General features: G+C 36.4%; 1 protein-coding gene across 26 annotated transcripts in view; it reads right to left on the bottom strand.

The window, feature by feature from the left end:
* BCKDHB (branched chain keto acid dehydrogenase E1 subunit beta) overlaps positions 1-19,243 on the bottom strand; it is a 360,067-nt gene that overhangs the window by 201,365 nt on the left and 139,459 nt on the right. The window contains exon 9 of one of the 26 annotated variants that reach the window (NM_001424042.1): positions 9,181-9,915. The exons of the other annotated variants lie outside the window; for them this stretch is intronic. Coding sequence (NP_001410971.1) covers positions 9,892-9,915 — 24 coding nt within the window. The 3' untranslated portion in view covers positions 9,181-9,891. Of the gene's footprint in view, positions 1-9,180; positions 9,916-19,243 lie in introns of those variants that run through there. 26 annotated transcript variants of the gene reach the window in all.

The following is a 19,243-nucleotide window of genomic DNA, read 5'->3' as shown; positions in this document are numbered from 1 at the left end:
TGGATGCTTAAGTTCCTTTTACCTTCTGGCTACTGTGAGTACTGCTGCAATGAGCATAGGTGTACAAATATCTGTTTGAGTCCCTGCTTTCACTTCTTTTGTATATATACCCAGAAGTGGAATTGCTGGGTCATGCCATAATTGTTTAATATTTTCAGAAATAGTCATAGTAATTTCCACAGAGGCTATACCATTTTACATTCCCACCAACAGTGCACAAGAGATGCAATTTCTCCACATCTGTACCAACACTTATTTTCTGTAGTTTTGACAGTAGCCATCCCAATGGGAACGAGGTGGTATCTCATTGTGATTGTGATTTGTATTTCCCTAATAATTAGTGGTGTTAAGCAATTTCCAGGTGCTTAATGGCCACTGGCATATCTTTCTTGGACAAATGTCTATTTGAGTCCTTTCTCCATTTTTTAATCCCCCTGTTTTATGTTTTGTTGTTGATATAGTGTTTCAAAGGTGCTTAATACATCTAATTTCTTAAACTGGTCCCTTTGAGGATTGGAAAGAAAATCTTTTCAGAATATGATATTCCATATGGAAAAATATATAATCAAATCTCAATTGTTTACCATGTCCTCTTTTCTTAAAAAGCATCACGTTCTGGTTTCCTCACCATCCTCCATTCTGAAAGAGACACAGGGAAAAATTTTCCTGACATCATCAATGTCACACATCCTCTGCCAGACTGCTTATCCATGACAGCACTCCTCTCCTGAAAAATCTTCAACGGTAAATCAGCTAACCAGAATCTTAGAGAAAACTTATACATGGTAACAGCACCTATAATTCACTGCTACAGAAACAAAAGAGACAAGTTACACACTAGAAAACCTCTGAGCCTCATAGCTTTGCTCCATATTGTGCCAGTAATTAGGAGATAAATAATGCCAAATAAGAAAATTTGAACATTATATTAGTACAAACCAGGAAATCACTTTCATCATCTTATTTATTACATACAATCTCTCAATTAACTTTTAATGTTGTATAAATTCCAAAGGTCATCAGTTCATATTAAAACAATTTCTTGAACCACATGTGCTAATACTGGGGAAGCAAAGACGAGTTAACTCAGGTCCCTAAAGGGTTGTACTATATATGTTGCCACAATGCCCTAGGGCAAAGCATACCCAAGAAAGAAAGAAATTAATTTAAAGATTATTTTAAGTGATAAGTAACAAGGAAAGGCATGATACTGGTATTAAAAATCAATTTATTTTTGTTAGAAACAAGTTTTTCTAGAATTTTAAATTTCAACTCCTTTGTTCTTTTCTAAAAAAAATTGAAAAATGAATTTTTCTCTTCTTAAAACAACAATTACTAATATCCTCTGCTTTTCAATTCGTAAGTCCCCACTTGGCAAATTTTTCTCAAGTGTTGACAACAGAGGGAAATACTATGTCTGGCCATCATAACAGTTCTAAAGGGTAGAAACTGACATCATCCCTTGTACTCCCAGCATACCGTGAATAAGAAGAAAGTGACCCTAACCAAAACCAAGATTGTCAGCCAGTTACATTTTACACTGCTGTTTTAAGCACGTATCAAGGGTACAATTTTCCCTGAAGCCAGCTGGTTGTCTACCAAGGTCATGCTTCCCTAAGGAATGATCAAAAGTATAAACACTGCTACACTTCTGTATCACCATGGATAAATGGTCCTATTTTCTAAAACTTGGTCCAATTCTGCTGGAATAAATGAATTTTTGGCCCATTGTGAAGCAAAAATTATGTGTAGTTCATAATACATGGGCAAGGCTTAAAATCTTTTGGGTTTTTGGGTATGACTCAAAAAAGTGCTGGAGTAAAACTCAAAGGATATTTCAGCAAAAATTACACATATCTTTTGTAGTGTATATAACTAAGATGGCACAGAGAAAAACAAAATATATAACTTACGTGCTTTCATTAAAACCAAGATAAGAGGGTTTTAATTATGTATCTAAGTTATTAATGTGACAAATGGATTCAGGAAAAGAATTCTTTAGCAGAAATAGTACTATTTTTCCGTAACATATTCATTGATTACTTAATAGAGAAGGTAGGAATACAGAGGAGAAATTTATTGTGTTTTATTCATTTGTTTGTTTTGAGACAAGGTCTCGCTCTGTCACGCCCAATGGAGAGCAGTGGCACAACAGAGGCACAAAAATCTTAAGGTCAAAAATTACATTATTGCTAATAGGATATTAGTGAGAAGATACAATAATAATAGTTCTCCAGAAATACAATTTAATATTTAAAAATCAATTTTTATCTAGGTTTAAATCCTTTTGTTCAGGGAAAGAGCTGAGTAATTTTCTTTCCTCATAATGCACAAAAATATCAACAATCCATTCCTATTTGATTTACAATTCTTTATTCTGCAATGCTTTCATTGACAAGGACTATAACAGTAACATGTTTCTGTCTATTATACCAGAAGAAGTGAGATATACTTACAATAGCTTAGGTTGTGAATGACAGTATTTTATTTTTTTAAGGAGTGATCCAAGAAGATTTTGTGCTTGGCTCACCTCATCATAAAAAGTTGATCACTTTGCTATATTGTCTATGAATAAAATAGTTATTATAAAAGAGAAAATACCACTGCTAAACAAAGAAAATGTTCTATTGCTCCATTAATTTTTAAAAATAAGTTTAAAAGTAAGGACAAAGTGGCATTTCACCCATTAATGTCACAAAGTAATTTAAATTTAAATTCTGACAAAGGAATATAGTTAAAATCTTCCTTACATTGCCAAAGGCCATGTAAACTGCCATTAAGTCTTTTGAGAAATATTTTGGGAATATATTTGCCAAAAGCTACTAAATGTTCAAATCCCTGAAATAAGGAATCTCAGTTCTGAGAGTTGATTCTCAGAGGACTCCAAAAGATGTAAAATACTGGACTTCTGGTTTAAAATAGTCATATGTGTGTGCGTGTGTGTTTGTGTGTTACCACGGTCAAAAAAATTCAGAAAAATTTAAGAAACACTGTTTTAGAGCCAGGGCATCATACTAAATACCCAAATACCATATTTGGTCATGGGCAAATTCCACTTAAAAGGACAAAGCACTTTAGAAATACTGCCTTTAAATCCCTTCCACAGCTACCATAGGTTGCATACTGCTTCACTAATTTTGTTTCATCTGTCTAATCTCTGCAGGCCCTTCAGTGTGTGACCCTAGCTCAGTGGCAGAAAAACAAGTGGAAAGCTGGCAGCACAGGAGAAGACCTTACCTGTACAGCAGAGCTTCTACACCAGAGATCAAGATGGGAACTGCACGCTCTACCCTTTGGGTGGAAACCTGAGGAGATTCCCACAGCAAACAAATTGAGAGCAGAATCAAAGCGAACCCCACCTTCTGGTTATGGGCAAATGAGCCTGTACAAACTGATACTGCCCTATTCAAAGATTAGTAAAGGAAGCAAAACATAGACTAAAGCTAATAGAGCCTACTGAAAAAAAATGCTGAAAATTATCCTGATCACTCAAAAGAAAAGCAGGTCTCTAAGAATAATCTACTTAACATCCAGAAGAAAGTGTTAAGCAACCACTGTGTACTCTCAACCGAAGAGCTAACCTTTAAGAAATAAGAATAATAATTCTAGGGAGATAATAAGGCTGGGTAAGAAAGGATACAGATGAAACGTGAAAGTCTCATAAGTAAGCTAAAACCACACTCGTGAAATGAAGACCCATGATAGTGGTGGATTCGTGTATTCTCGTGGTATCTTCCCCTACTGCCTACCACTCTCAGGGTATGATGCTCCACATTCAGCAGACCTCAAAACTATTTGCTGAGTGAATGAGTAGGGATAAATTGGCCTCAGCTGCAAATGTCTGAAAAATACAGGGACAAGAAGCAAGCAGACAGGAAGGCAAGTTGAGTAACAAGTTTTCTTTCCCCCTCCTCCCCTGGCCACAGACTGGCAGTGAGGATGCTTTCCCCTGGTTGTCTCCATCCCTTCTGACAGCCAAGGACCACTGCTGGAGAGCATGGACGTGCTTTCCTCCTATCCTTCCATTTGTCCTTTCCCAAAGTCCACTTGAGGCCTGCTATTGCCCGAATTGGAAAAGAAGCCAAGAATAAAAAGAAAAAGGAAGAAAAGGAGGTTCATCTTCCCAGTGTGACAACAACTTAAAGGATGAGGTACACAAATCACAGACTGCAAAGAGCTTTCATTTAGCAAGAGTCACGAAACAAATATCTCATGACCTCAAGAAGTAATGGGAATAACTAAGGTAATAAGCAGTGGAAGGTGGTGTGGACAACCAGAGAACACAGTCTCTGACTTAGGGGGCCAAACTCATTTCCTTTTTATTCTTTTTGAATACTATGAAAGCCAAGCAAAACATGTCTCCCCAGGCCAGATTCTGTCCAAGAGTTTGCAACCTATACTTTAAGGAAACATCTTTGGCAAAATGATCTTTTTTTTCCAAATATCAAGATGCACTTTCTGTTATGTTATCTTTGCCCACAAAATTATACACCGAATCAGGCAGACTTCCATTCCGGCCTTCCCAAATATCTTGTGGATATTTACCAGTATAAACATCCATTTTGTTGTAAAGTTACATTTAGCAAAGCAGACCCAGTGGTTCAAAAGAAATTTGAGCCATATCTTCACCACGTGTTTCTAAAACCCAGAAAAACAATGAACTAGTCAAGATAATGTGTAAATTTAAGCATTCAGTAGTCTTGCTATATGTTCCAAAATGACATCATAAATGGGTAATTATGGCATTTGGAATTTTAAATATGCAGGAAAAAGGATTCTATGGCTCTGAAGCTCTTCCCCATATTGTACTTGGTGATGTACCGTACTTCTGAAGCACTCCTAGGGCCCTTACCAGGAGCCCTCCAGTGTGTTTATATACTACTGGAAGAGTGAGAGTCTGTTTCCAGTTTCAAGAGACCCAATAATTTGTAGTCCCTCATAGGAGAAATCTTGTACCAAGAACATCCGCAATGGATGAGATGCAGTTTTACTGACTAAAAGAAGTTTTAGTAAGTTACCCAAAATACAGTTTTCTCAAAACATTACATAAAAGATAAATGGTAAGATTGTATTTTATTACCCCACACACACACACACACCCACCATTACCACCAGTTTTTACTAAATTGCTTATTTTGGCCATCAGTATTGGCAGCTGGGCCAGGCAACTAGCGGTGAGAGTGGTGTCTAGAACCAGTATATCAACAGGTATGAAGAGGAAGTAAAAAAGCCACAACCAATGTTTTAAAGCAAAGGAAGAAAATAAAGGTGATACCATGAAAGTAACCAGGTTTAATTCAGGACCAATACAAAATAGGGGCTGGAAAATCCAAAGACCTAAATGATGAGGATAAGATAGGAAGTTCTTTTCATAGAGTCATGGTGTGGGGTTGGAGTTGTGGATATTTATCTCCTCATCATCACTACTGTCATGGTCCCAGAGGTTACCTACATCTCCACCTTCACTTGGTGCATCTTAACTACATTCAAAAATAAAATTCAGAATTGGGTTTTTGGCTTTACTCATCATAAATTAATTTTTATTAAGCATATAAATTGGTGTTTTTGAATCTACTTTACAGTATTCCTTTAGTTCTGATGATGATTAATGTCATCGTTATTTCCAATAAATTAAAAGAAACATGTTAGGGTATCATTATTCTTTTGGCTACCTGGAGACCCAAATAACTTAAGAAATCATTTATAAATCTGTCTCAAAGAAAAATGACCATTTCTCACATCTACTATAAAATTGTATGACCTATAAATATGTGTGGTTGTATTTATAAATGCACCCTTTTCACACATTTTACCTATACTATGTGAAGTTCATGTATTTTAAACCATAGCCTCAAATGTAACCAGGAAACCTCCATGAGGGTGGAATCTTGACATAGCTTTCAATGTTATTGCTCCCCGGTCCTACTACTTTATGATGCCAAAGCGTATCACTTTACCCTGGGACTGCCAACCGTAATTCTGAAATCGGAACACAACTGACTGCATCAGTGACACTGAAACCATAATATTGCAGCTGGCCTGGAGCAGCAGCAAGCTGCTGATCAGTGAGCAAGACAGTGGGGAGGGAGGAATGGCTGAAGAAAGGCATTCAAGACAAATCTCCAAATTCTCAATAAGCTGCAACCATCAAAGAGTCCAATATCTAATCTAGAAAATGTCAAAGGTCAGGTTTTTTAACAAAATCAAGTAGGGAGATTAATATTAAGTATATCTACACTGCCTTCAATACTGAACTGTTTCAGGACCACTTTTAGAAACAACAATATGATACCACTCCCCATGCCAGGACATCTTACAGCAATGGCCTCATATTGAGGAAAAAACATTTGCAAATAAAGTAGCAAACAGTAACTTGAAGCATAAGACCTACATTCTAACTACAGCTTGAAAGAAAGAACTGGGGGGGAGTCTGGAAGAAAATTATAACCCCAAGAGTTATAGTGTAAAGGTGAAAACTATAATTTATGTCTTCATGTTGTTAACTTGAGCATCAGTGATAGAATGCATGAGTGCTGCTAAAATGGATGCTTTTTTTTTTTTTACTAACTCTCATCAAATAATACATCAAGGAATACATGTACACACCTTGCATTGTCTACTCCCCTCATCAGGATCACTGCTTAGATACTAGCCCCCACATCAGCAACCTGGGGCTGGGAAAAGGCAGGTACTCACTCTCCCGGTGCCTGGGGGAGCCTCAGAGCCATCTGGGCATCCTGCCCCCTTGGGCTGCTCCCCTGATCCTTACCTTTAATCCCAATGCATCAGACCCAGTGTTTGCTGCTTTAGAACATTTTATTCAACAGAACTACAGGCCAGTGATGAAAAGATGTTTATAAGGTTGATGCTTTTTAAGGAAGAATAACAAAATTTTGTTGAATATTTCCTCTGGTACCTTCTAAACAGAAAGGGGAGTGTCTCAACCCATTGCCCCTTCAAACCCCTGAAAATGTGAATCTCTGACTCAGCTTGATGACCGTTTCTCCTCAGGCACCTGAACCATGAAAAGCTGATGAGGAACAGGTGAAAACAGAACCTGTCAGTGATCTTTGAATGCTTCTGAACTTTTCAGCAGAAACAGTGCCTTGTCAATCACTGTGTTTTGTTTTGTTTTAAACAACACAGAAGCAAAATTCTATGATAAAAATTAATATGGCAGACATAATACAGAACCAGAACATTAAGTGGGAAACTGAGGATACATAGTACAGCGTATTTAAAGGCAGAATTAAAATTCTTAAACTATGTATTATTCTTATATATAAACAATTCATGTCCTGATTTATAGATTTTTATAATAAATATATATATATATGTTGTGATGGTTAATTTGAGGTGTCAAATAGTTAAGTTGAGGTGTTAACTTGAAGATCTGTCCTTATTGCAGTCAGGCACCATCCAATCTGCTGGGAGTCCGAAGGAAAAAAGGAGAAAAGGTAAATGTGCCCGTCTATTTGCTGGGCTGGGATATATCCTTCCTCTCCAATCCTTGGGCAACAACTCTAGGCTCCAGCCCTTTGGACTCCGGGACTTACACCAGAACCGCCTCCCTACTCCCTCGCCCTGGGTTCTCAGAGTAACGCTATTGTCTTCTCCGGTTCTGAGGCCTTTAGACTTAGTCTGAGCCTCTCTACCAGCATCCCAGAATCTCTAGCTTACAGACAGCCTGTCGCAGGACTTCTCAGCCTCGATAAGCACATAAAACGAACCCCTTAATAAATCCCCTCTCATCTATCTATCTCCTTTTGATTCTGTCTCTCTGAAGAAGCCTAACACATAATATGTATTATCCCAAACAAGATACTTATACTGTTACATTATTTATTAGAATATATATTCATATATATATATATATATGTATCTTTAAGGAATATATATGAATTATATATCTTTAATTAAAAATATATGTATATATACACATACACAATATAAGTGTGTGTGTGTGTGTGTATAGATACATATACACACATAGCATGTGTGTATTCACAGAAAAAGAAAGATGAAGAGAGACAGACAGATATTAAAGACAAGAGAAACTAGGATTTTAAACCAAAAGTGGTGAATCAGCCCAATATCAGACTAGAAGCCCTATGACAGGACAGACTGTTTTTTCACTGCTGTGCTTCAGGGCATCAGTGCATAGCAGCTACTCAATAGACTAACTTGTTGAAAGGCTAAACATTATTATTTCTTCCCTTTTTAAAGAAGTCTCACATAAATAATATTAAAGAAGCTGTAACTCCAGTGAGCAAATTTATTCTTAATAATGTGGATATGGTATGTGTAACTAATGATAGAAAACTATAAAACTGCATCAGGAAACTACTAGATTTTAGAGTACAACCATAAGTATACAAATTTGAAAACATCCTTTCCTGTTGCTCAATAATTGTCTAATTAGGAGTCTCTGTTTTGAACCATATGTTGCCATTTTTTAAAATACATACTGTGAGACAACTTCATTTATTATGGCTAAATATTATTAACAATTATACCTCCTGACTAAACAGCTAAGCCAACATAAGATGTCAACCAGAGTATATTTAGCTTAGCCTAATAAGGAGTTACTAGATTTCACCAGCACAGAGAGAAGTGCTATGCAACTGAACCAAAGAAGAACTACCTGAGACTGTTAACTTTCCAAATAAAAAATGAAAGTATAAAAAAAGCTTTATAAAAATGGATGATTTTATGAATTTGGATATTTTCCTTAGTCAAACAACTTTATATATGTGTGTGTATATACAGTCATGCCCATAACTAAATTTTGGTCAACAGTGGACCACATGTACCATAGTAGCCTCATAAGATTATAAACCGTATTTTGACTGTACCTTTTCTATGTTTAGATATGTTTTGATACACAAATACTTACCATTGTGTTACAACTGCCTACAATATTCAGTACAGCAACATGCCGCACAGGTTTATAGTCTAGGAGCAGTAGGCTATACCATATAGCCTAGGTGTATAGTAGGCTATCTAGGTTCTAGATTCATGTAAGTACACTCTGTAATATTTGCACAACAAAATTGCCTAACAACATGTTTCTCAGAATGTACTCCTGTCGTTAAGTGATGCATTACTGTGTATATACAAAGAAACATGCCAATACATATAAATGTGACATTAAGAGAGGAAGTTAAATAACATGGATCATTTTCTTTCTAACTCTGCATTTTATTGACTTAAGTTTATTATTTGCAACTACTTTGACGATCCAAAGAGAAATGAACAGTTTCTCAATTCAGAGACAAGCATATTGTAGAACTTTCAGCCTTTGGGGGGAAATAACCAAAGGTAAATAGCCTCAGGGCACAAATCACTTCGCTAATGGTACAGTCAGGCCACCAGGAACCAGTAGTCAAATTTCTACTGCTGGCTTTTTGACTTATCAGTTGTTCAAAAAGAACTTTAGTGACTAGGATAGTACATCTGACATCTTTATGTCCTTCATATTTTCTCTAGTAACAAAATAAGAAACATTAAACACATTTTATATTAGGTATATTCTTTATGCTCAGGAGGCTAAGATATAGTCCAGAGGAAATTCCAATTTGGGAAACTAAATTTCCATTGTTCTCTAAACACATGGACCCAAATCCATGGCTTGCATCCCTGTATGTTGTAAGACAGTGGTAAAATCCTTCTGGTTGTATGATCCCTATAACAAGGAAAACTGATTATTTTCTCCACATTAGTTTCTCCCACTGCATGCTGTTCGGTAAGAGCAGGTTCCTTAGTAATCAGCTGTTAGCGGTGATCCGAATTTTTTTCTTTTTTTTCCCTTCTTTTCACAGGTGTTGATGAATTTTTGTCCTTTTATTTTTTGTAAATGGAAGTATTTGAGAATTTAATATCAAAATGGTCTTAAACGGAGAAAAATAGAAGCCACTATCAATAGAAACAAAGGAATGAATTATGAAAAGTCTTTCATTGATGACTCATTTTTGAAAAACAGTAGAAACATTCCTACATCTAATAGGTTTTGAAAATATTAACAGCAATCTGTATATTACAGTCCTCATAAATAATTATGGTACTTATCTCTTTTCCATATTACAGTTTATGGAGGTGCAATGCACTGTTAGCAAAAGTACAATAAGGTATAAAACCAATACAACTAAGACTTCAGCTCTGTCTTCAAGGAGTATACAATCCAGAAGATATTTTCTAAAGTATATAGAAAAAGCAGATATAACATGTGGTGACAATGTAATCAGACTCATTTTAAACAATGAACACTCCTCTTCAAAACACCCAAAGAAAGCATTGTTCTAACAATGAAGCTGTTGTTTCACACACTTTGGGGAATTTGAGGGGGAATGATCTTTTTGTTACAAACAGAGAGATAATTTTATCTGTCTGTCTGTCTGTCTGTCTATCTGGCTGAAGATAACAGAAATGTGTTCTCTCACAGTTCAGGAGGCCAAAAGTCCAAAATCAAGCTGTCAACAGAGTTGTTTCCTTATCAGAGACTCTGAGAGGGAAATCATCTATGATTCTCTCAGTTTCTGGGGATTTCTGGCATTCCTTAGCCTTCTTTGTCTTGTAGTTTTTGGTTTTGTTTTATTGTGTTGTGTTTTTTTAAGAGACAGGATTTTACTCTGTCAGTCTGCCTGGAGTGCAGTGGTGTGAACACAGCTCATTGTAACCTCGAACTCCTGGGCTCAAGTAATTTTCCAGCCTCAACCTACAGAGTAGATGGGACCAAAGGTGGACTTCATCAACCTGGTTAATTTTTTTATTTTTATTTTTGTAGAGATGGGGTCTCACTATGTTGCCTGGGCTGGTCTTGAACCCCAGGGCTCAAGCAATCCTCCTGCTTCGGCCTCTCAAAGTGCTAGGATTACAGGCATGAGCCATCGCACCCAGGCTGCTGGAATTATCTTTAAAAATTAGTGTACAGACAACTTTAAAAATCACTCACATTACAATCACACTTCATAATATAGAATTTAGAGGGAAAACATTTAAATTCTCAAAAACAATCTTATTAAAAAACTATGACATGTGAAAAAAGAAGAATATGTACCTTAAGAGATACAATCAGGATAAAATAGAAATAAAGTAAATAATAATAAAATAATAAAGTAAATAAATTAATAATATATTAGGATACTAGGAAGCCAGAGGGGAAATTTTCACCTTTTGGGAGTTGATTATGAAAAGGGAAACAGTGATTCGATGCCCATCCTTGATGACACCTGAGGCACATTGCACATGCCTCGATAAAACATAAACACTAATACTGATACAACATTCTAGATAGTTATTTTGTAATAAAGTAATGATCATAATTATTTCAGCACAGAATTTATTATGAAATGTTGCTTAATTAATTAACTTAATTCAAGTTCTGTAGATTTTTTTAATTTCTATTTTAATAATAACTTATTTAAAATACAAAAGCCATGAAAAAAATTAGTGGCCTATAAAAGCTAAAACTTATTATCCTCTCCTATAGGATTAAAAACAAGTTATGGTTAAAAAATCTTCTTTTACCAAGATTCATTAAAAAACTATATAATATTCAGAAAAACACTATAAATATAGCTATGACTTTGGGGGGCAAAAGATCTCCTGTGACTACTATATCAAAGGAAAAATATTTTTATTTATGATTTCTATGCATGGTAAAGTGATATGACATGATATGTTGCTTTTTTCCCTATCATCCATGTCTTCTCCTTTACGTAATTTTTCCTTTGGAAGTTTATGCTTTCCTAGTAAGATAAAATGTTATCTTATCAATCAAAGAGTCAATCAAAGAGTACCACATTCCCTTGACCAAGGAATGGATACATAGCCCAAGAATTATAAATAAAACTCTCTCCAGAAAGCCCGACGCATGATTAAACAGCATGTGTGCACAAGGTCCAAAAACTCATTTGCCTAAATGGTGAAACCTGAAAAGACCATCTACTGCTTCCTGCAACCTTCCTCTCTAGATCTGCTGTTTCCTCCTCTTCTAAGGTACTTCCCAGATGTTTGTAGGTCTTTGCACACACAAAAATTTACCTCTGCATGGCACGCTGGTGTTACAGGACTAGACTGGTCTCTCTGCCCCAAAGCTCAACCAACTGACCTTAGCCCTAAGTGATGAATATCTGCTGACATCTGTTCCCCATCTTAAGCCTAGCAGCCTGTCTTGGCACAGCTCTACAAGGCCTCATTCTTCAGGTTGTCCTCAAACTAAAAACTACAAGATATCTTTCTAAATAAACTGCTCCTTAATTTCTGTTGCTTACAATTAAATTACTGATGCAGATGTTGTGAGGAAAACAATGTAAAAGATAGCCATGATGATTATGATAACAGTGGTGATGGGGATGATGATAATCATTATGATGCTGAGAGGAGGAGGGGGTGAAGAAAGAGAAGGAAGAAGAAAGAAATCTAGACTATACAGAACTTTACAAACAACCTATTTAACTGACTTTTGTTTAAACTGTGTGAGAGTAGGTTGTAACAGTCCAATTAAATCTTTTATGCTTAATATTTATGTTACTCATTTAGTATCTCTTGTAGTAAGATAGTATCAGATTTATACATAACTATACTTTGTAAAAATTTCAATGTTAAGAAATTAGGTTTAGATTATTTTAAATATTATTTTAAACATTATCCTTTCAAGGATAAGTAACCATCTTAGATGGTGGCCATATGTATGCAAAGTAAATAGCTTTACTTAGGTTTTAGTTCACTCAATGCTTTTAAACATAATCTAAGTTTTTCTCAGCATTTTATTAACTTCAGAAAATTAAGTTTGGAAAAGCTATTAAAATAACTTATGACCAATAACCTTGACAAAATGTGGTTTTACAACTAAGACACCAGTGAATGGAGAATTAAGTTACCTTCCTCTAATTCTTTTATAAATATGTTTGGTTCAAGACACAGTCTTATTCATTAAATGCTAATGTTGAAAATGATCTGAATGATCTGAGCGATAACATTGTTTGGGCCTGAATTTCTCCAGAAATCTCTCAATTTGCCACATCATTTGATAGAAAAAAATAAGTCCAGTGTTGTATGAAGGAAATTTCTGTTACTTTAAAATGCAACTTCAGCATAGACTTTGCAATCAGGTGGCTTGGATTCAACCCCTAGCACTTCTGCTCACTAGTTGTGTGAACATGGGCAACTTACTTAACCTGTCTGAGACAGCTTCTTCGCCTATAAAAATGATGAAGTAATAACACCCAACCAAGTAGTAAAGTTGGGATGCTTAAATGAAATAATGCACACAAAGCTCTCAACGTAATGCCTACAGTAAGCATGCTATAGTGCTAGCTATTACTTTGGCATAAAATTGAGCCTTTCTTCTGTGTCAACTCATATTCTCCATTTGTTTATATTAGTTTTTAAATGTATGTGATAAAGTCCCCACAGCAGCAGCAATGTCCAATAGGTTAATAACTCAATAAAAAATTTGTACACAGCTCATGTTCAAAGTATTTTTGTGTGTTAGATTTGATTCTTAATAACTTAAATCCCTACCATTACCTTGAAAAATGAGAGAACAAACCAGCTGTTGATGTTGGTTGCTGCAAATACCATACACAAACAGAAATACCTAAAAGAAAATGATGGTCTTTCAGACCCTAAGAATAATTTTTTATGAGAACAGAGTATGAATAATATTTGAAAGTTTAGGCCGGGAGTAGAAGTTGTCTCTTGATAATACATGATCTTCTTGGTTTATACAATAAACATATGGCAGAAGGGATGAATTCTAAGCACAGAACAGACACATGATTTACACCCCCTTCAGGGACAGACTGCTTGGAAATGAAGAGCACTTGCTTACAAATAATATCTTAATACAATTTTGCCTTTTTCCCATATCCCTGTGACAGACTGTGTTCACTAGACATTTTAAATAAGTTTATACTGTCCTCCAACCTTGAACAGGATGCTTTAATACCTAATTGTAAAATGTCAATTAAGTAATTTGCTCCATTTGCATGGAGAGCAAAAACTTATCTGAAAAATCATAGCATTATTTGTGAAAAGCTTCACATTCCCACGGCTATTTAGATCTAGCAGATGAGTCAGAACTCAAATTAGTTAATAGAGGTATTGTTAACAACAAGAGGCCTAGGTTTTTAAACAGCAAAACAAAATAGAATTCCCAAGCTTACCAAATGAAAGATCCTCAACTTCAACAGTTGTGAATAAAAGGAAACCAGGGTCTACAAAGTTAAATGACTTAACTATTAATACTATCTAGTCAGTAGTGAAGCCAAACAAGAATCCTAATCTCCCGGGACAACCAGAAGTACAATTCTTAAATAGTTATCACATAATTCCTGAGCCAATAAACAATCTGTTTATTCACCATTTAAACCATAGCAATTGCTTCTATAACTACTAAGCACTTTATATCATAATTACATTAAATCTTCATAACCCTAAGTGGACTTCACAGATGTGGGGTTAGGACTAGAGAGGTTAAGTGACTTGCCGAAGTACATACATGGAACCAGTAATTAAGCTTAGATAAGCATGCTGTATATCCACTGTGCCATGGACTCTTATAAGATGGATTCATTCTTACCACAGGATAGTCACTCCATCTTCCCCCTATGTTGTATAAGCCTGGATGATCCTAAACCCAATTCTGCATTCAGTGATAAAATGCAGTTTCTGGTTTCAAAATGTCCTTAGTCATTCCAATCAAGTGACAACAGAAGTACACAGAGGAGGCCTCCCACCTTCCTCAGCTCTCCAGATATGACTCTTCCTGTCTTCAAGATGAAAAACCTCTTCTCTTCTCTCCCTCTCCCTTTTCCCTCCCATTTCTGTCAATCAAGGGCTGTGATCACGGTTTGGGAAGGTAGGAATTGGCCTCTGAGCGTGGACTGAATACATGTTGCAAAAGCTAGAATTCATCTTTTTCTTCTTCCTTCATTTGACAGAAGATTGAGACAGAGGCTGGGACTTTACAGCCACAATTCTAGGAGTCATATAAAATATTTAATACCACAATTTTTTGAGAGTTAGGAGTAAATGCCAGAAGTAAAGATTCATCTGTGAGAAGTGATACCACCCTGATCTAAACTCCTAGGCTTCAGTTATCTCCTCAACCAGAATATCAAGAATATTGGCTGTGAGGTGGTGGCAGTGGCTGTTGGGGAGGCCGGCAGAGGTCAGAGAAGAAGGAGAGCCAACTAAAACAGGATACTAACTACTCTCTGAGGCTGCAACCCAGCCCACACTCTACACCACTGTGTACTGTAACATGAAGGAAGTGTGGGAGGTGGAGAAAGAAAAGTGAAGAAAATGGGCAAAACCCTTCCCCTCACAGAATCTACATTCTATAATAGAATAAATAATAGCATTATTTCAGAGCAACACACATACAGGCAGGTGCTTACAACAATGCCACAACTTACCTTACAAATGACTCTTTAAAATCTGAGTTATTTTAAGAGGAGGTTTTCAAGGTGTAAGTTAATTTAGCTTCCATGGCAGGTAATTAAGTTACTTTTATATTCTTTTGCTTTAAGGAATTTATAAATGAAGTTTAAAAATATTAAGCACTAGCTCTTTTAAAACTTTTTACATTCAAATCACTATTACAAAATTCATGTTCACCGCACTTGGACTCCACCCTCTTACCTCCACCCCAAGAGTACTCTTTGGGATGGTCTGCCTTAAAATGTATTTGACACATAAAGAAGTGACAGCAATTCCTTTGAAATGACTGAGTCATAACTACAGGCTATTTCACTATTTGGAGTACAACATGTCCTGGTCACCCCTTTTCATTTATATATCATACACATATAAAGTAAAACAAAATTTAATTTGCATCTAGCAGCTATCTGTACTTTTATGTGCAGCAAATGATTTTTTTTTTAATGGTAAAATTACTCAATTGATCCTCCAGGATGGAGGAGTAAACTGCTTCCTAAATATCAGTCAGGATAACTGCAGACATGAATGTGTTTTTCAAGCATTCTGGAACATAAAAGTTAATGTGGCTCCTCCCAAAATGCTGTAAATAAATTCAGAGAAGAACTTATTCAGGTGGCATTATCTAGCCCAAGGAACATTTAGCAATGCTTAAAGACATTTTTGGTCACCACAACTGGGGATGAGGATTGGGTGGGAGGAACTTATTAGCATCTAGTAGGTAGAAATCAGGAATGCTGCTAAACATCCTACAATGCACAGAACAGCCCCACAATAAACAAACTATAAATTCATGTTAACATGGTTAAGAAGTTCCAGCCTATGGTTGTCAATCATTTTTAAAACTGTAGTTTCCAGGAAGCCTACCAAATACACTGAAGACATACACACCTCCACACCACTATGGCTATTCTGGGATGCACACACACAATACACATACACACACACACACACACACACACACATACACACACACACACAAACTTCCAACCAGGGTATCTATCTATAGAAAAACATGGCAAGTCTGGTGATCATTCAACAGAGAATTCATCTCCATTCTCTTTCATTCACTCCCTTGGCTTCAATTACTGTATTTATACTAATGATACCTAGATCTGCCACTTGGAGTGAGAGCCTCTCTAAGGTACCACACCAGCCACTGGATACCTTAAACTTTCCCACATGCAAAGCTAACAGCAATTGTCCATCATCCACTCATTCTGCCCCAACTCTCCCTTCCACTTCAGCTCTACCTCCAGCAGTCCCAGCCCTGGTGAATGACAGCACCACTGATCCTGTAGTCAAGCCAGAAGCCTGGGCATTCTGGGCTCATACCATATCCCAGCAATACCACTGTATTTTGCACATAATTGTCACTTGATTCAAATGTTGAACACTGAGTGAATTAATCTTTTTTCAAACCAATTTATAAATGATAAAAATAAACCCTAAGCTCAAAAAATACTAGAGAAAAGCAAAGTAAAACAAAACCAAGCAACGCAGAATGTAGTTCAGTATAAAAAAGCAGTGTATCTGGAACTATATCCCATGTTCAGAAAACAGAAACAATCACAGATCCAAAAAGAACCAAAGAAGCCTTAAGACACAGATTAAACAGTGGAAAAGATGCTAAGACAACAGATGACCTTGGACACTGTGGTGCTGACTCTGAGAAAAATTTGCTTCAATTAAAAATCAAGCTTTATGAAGATGAATTTCCCAAAGCATTGAAAAGAGAGCAGGAAAACTAGATAAGGGAGAAAAAGAGTACAGTAAGAGAGTTAGTAAAAATTAATAACAACCACCTAACATTCAAATAGAGTTGAAGTTTGAAACAATCACATGTATTATTTTGTTCTTTCAAAAACTCTGAGGCAAGCAGGTCTTTTAATTACCAGGCAATAATAATTGGAATTCCCACTGGCAAAACACTGTAGATTTTTAATAGTAACTAAGCTTCAGCTATGGATCATTCTGAATGTTAAGTAGCAGAAAGAATCAAAACCACCCCAATGTTAAAGTGGTCCTCATCACAACATAGACTTCCACTAACGTGGCCATTAGCAGCAATTCACAATGGTAATTACCTAAATAAAGAGCTGCTATTTCTGGACTGAACAGGGGTCACCTCAAGAACCATTTCCCTTCACTGTAAGTCTCTAATAATGAATTTAGTTGGCTGCTGACAACCTTCCAGAAAGCATCCAAAAGTACAGACAATATGCTGCATTGTCATAGTGAATTGTTATGCCTGTTTTAGAAATAAGATTTTGGAAAGTTTAAATGAATCGTAAAGACATCCAAGTGAACAAGAGGAATCAGAATTTAAACTTTGATCAAAAGTTTCCCTTCTACATCTAATGTTAGCTCACCTGTAACATATCTTTGAAAAACTAATAATTCCGGTTATAAATATGTGTGGAAATCAGCCTGATTTGTTATGACAACCTTAAGGATGTAGCTGATTGAGTATTCTTCTTGTGTGAAATAACTCAGGTCTAGGTAATAAGATTTAACAGGATAATATTTTTGAAATATTATGTGATTTATTTTTATTCTTACTAATCTTGTTGCTTTACCCAGCAAAGCTGAAAGCTTTGGCTTTGAGAGACAGACAGATACAGCCAAGGACAAAGGCATTATTGTTCAGTTATAATTTTCCAAATAGCAATTTAAAAATTAGCTTTGCAGAAGCAATTGTTTTGCAACCCACATTCTCTAAGAGCTTGAGAGAGAAACGGTTTTGTTTTGATGGTCCAAAAGGACTTTGCTTGGACCATGCAGAACTGTAGAATTGAGAGCTTATATGAAAGTTACTCATAGATATGGCAAAAGGAGAATATTAAAGCAGTTTCCCTGGCTCAAAGAAAAGAAATATAAGTTTGATTGCCTTCTAGGATGAAATAAGGACCAAAGTGTCTAACTAGAGATTAAACATTGTCTGGGCCCTTGAAGGTGTGTCTGTATGTTGGGGGAGAGGGGTGGGGGAATGTGTGAGTTTGTCTATGTATGTGTGTATGTGTGTGTGCAAGTGTGTACAAGTGTGTGTCAGCATGGGGCTGGACAGAAGATGGGGTGGTAAGATGGTAAAACATTCAGAAAGACTAAGGGGGTGTCTCCACAAACATTAGGAGCTTCTGCCCAGCTTCTGAAGCCCTCTGGGAGAGCCATTTTGGATTCTGTAAGCCAGTGTTGGGTAGACAGCATACAGCTGCAATGGTGAAGAAGTCTGCCAGGTTAGAATGAGCTGAAAGCTTTACACTGCCCTGTCTTTCCCTGATTTCAGTAGGATGTCAGTGAGATAAAAAAACATTCTCATGTCTCCTCCCACCAAAGGAGGTCTGGAGGGCTTTTGTAGTAGCAATGGCAGGAAGGGGGCTAGTAAGCATGAAGAACTGCAGGGCCAGCCAATGAAACAGCAAGGAGTAACCATGGTTTCATTTTACCTTAAAACTTCAACCACAAGATGCCCCAATTGTTGTATAGCAATGCAGGATAACATGAAGACAAAGGTCAAAACCTAAGCAAGACAAGATACATAGGGGAGGCGAGGGACGACCAGGGGACCACAGACTGGATGGACACCTTCCTTCTCTCAATGCTTCCCATGCACTGAGAAACTCACATTTCTGCATATCCACAAGTGTATTTTCTCTTTATTGCTTAACAATTTACAATTTTCACAGGTTAGAGAATCATAAATTATTACAATATCAAGGTTATCCTAAAGTGTGATTCTTAACATATTGGTTTAAAATGTCTTTCTCTCATTCATCCATTTATTTATTTAGTGAGATAG

Source organism: Homo sapiens, chromosome 6 (genome assembly GCF_000001405.40).
Source record: "Homo sapiens chromosome 6, GRCh38.p14 Primary Assembly".
Taxonomy (NCBI): domain Eukaryota; kingdom Metazoa; phylum Chordata; class Mammalia; order Primates; family Hominidae; genus Homo; species Homo sapiens.
Note: the sequence above shows the minus strand (reverse complement) of the source record. Positions and strands in the feature narration are given on the sequence as shown.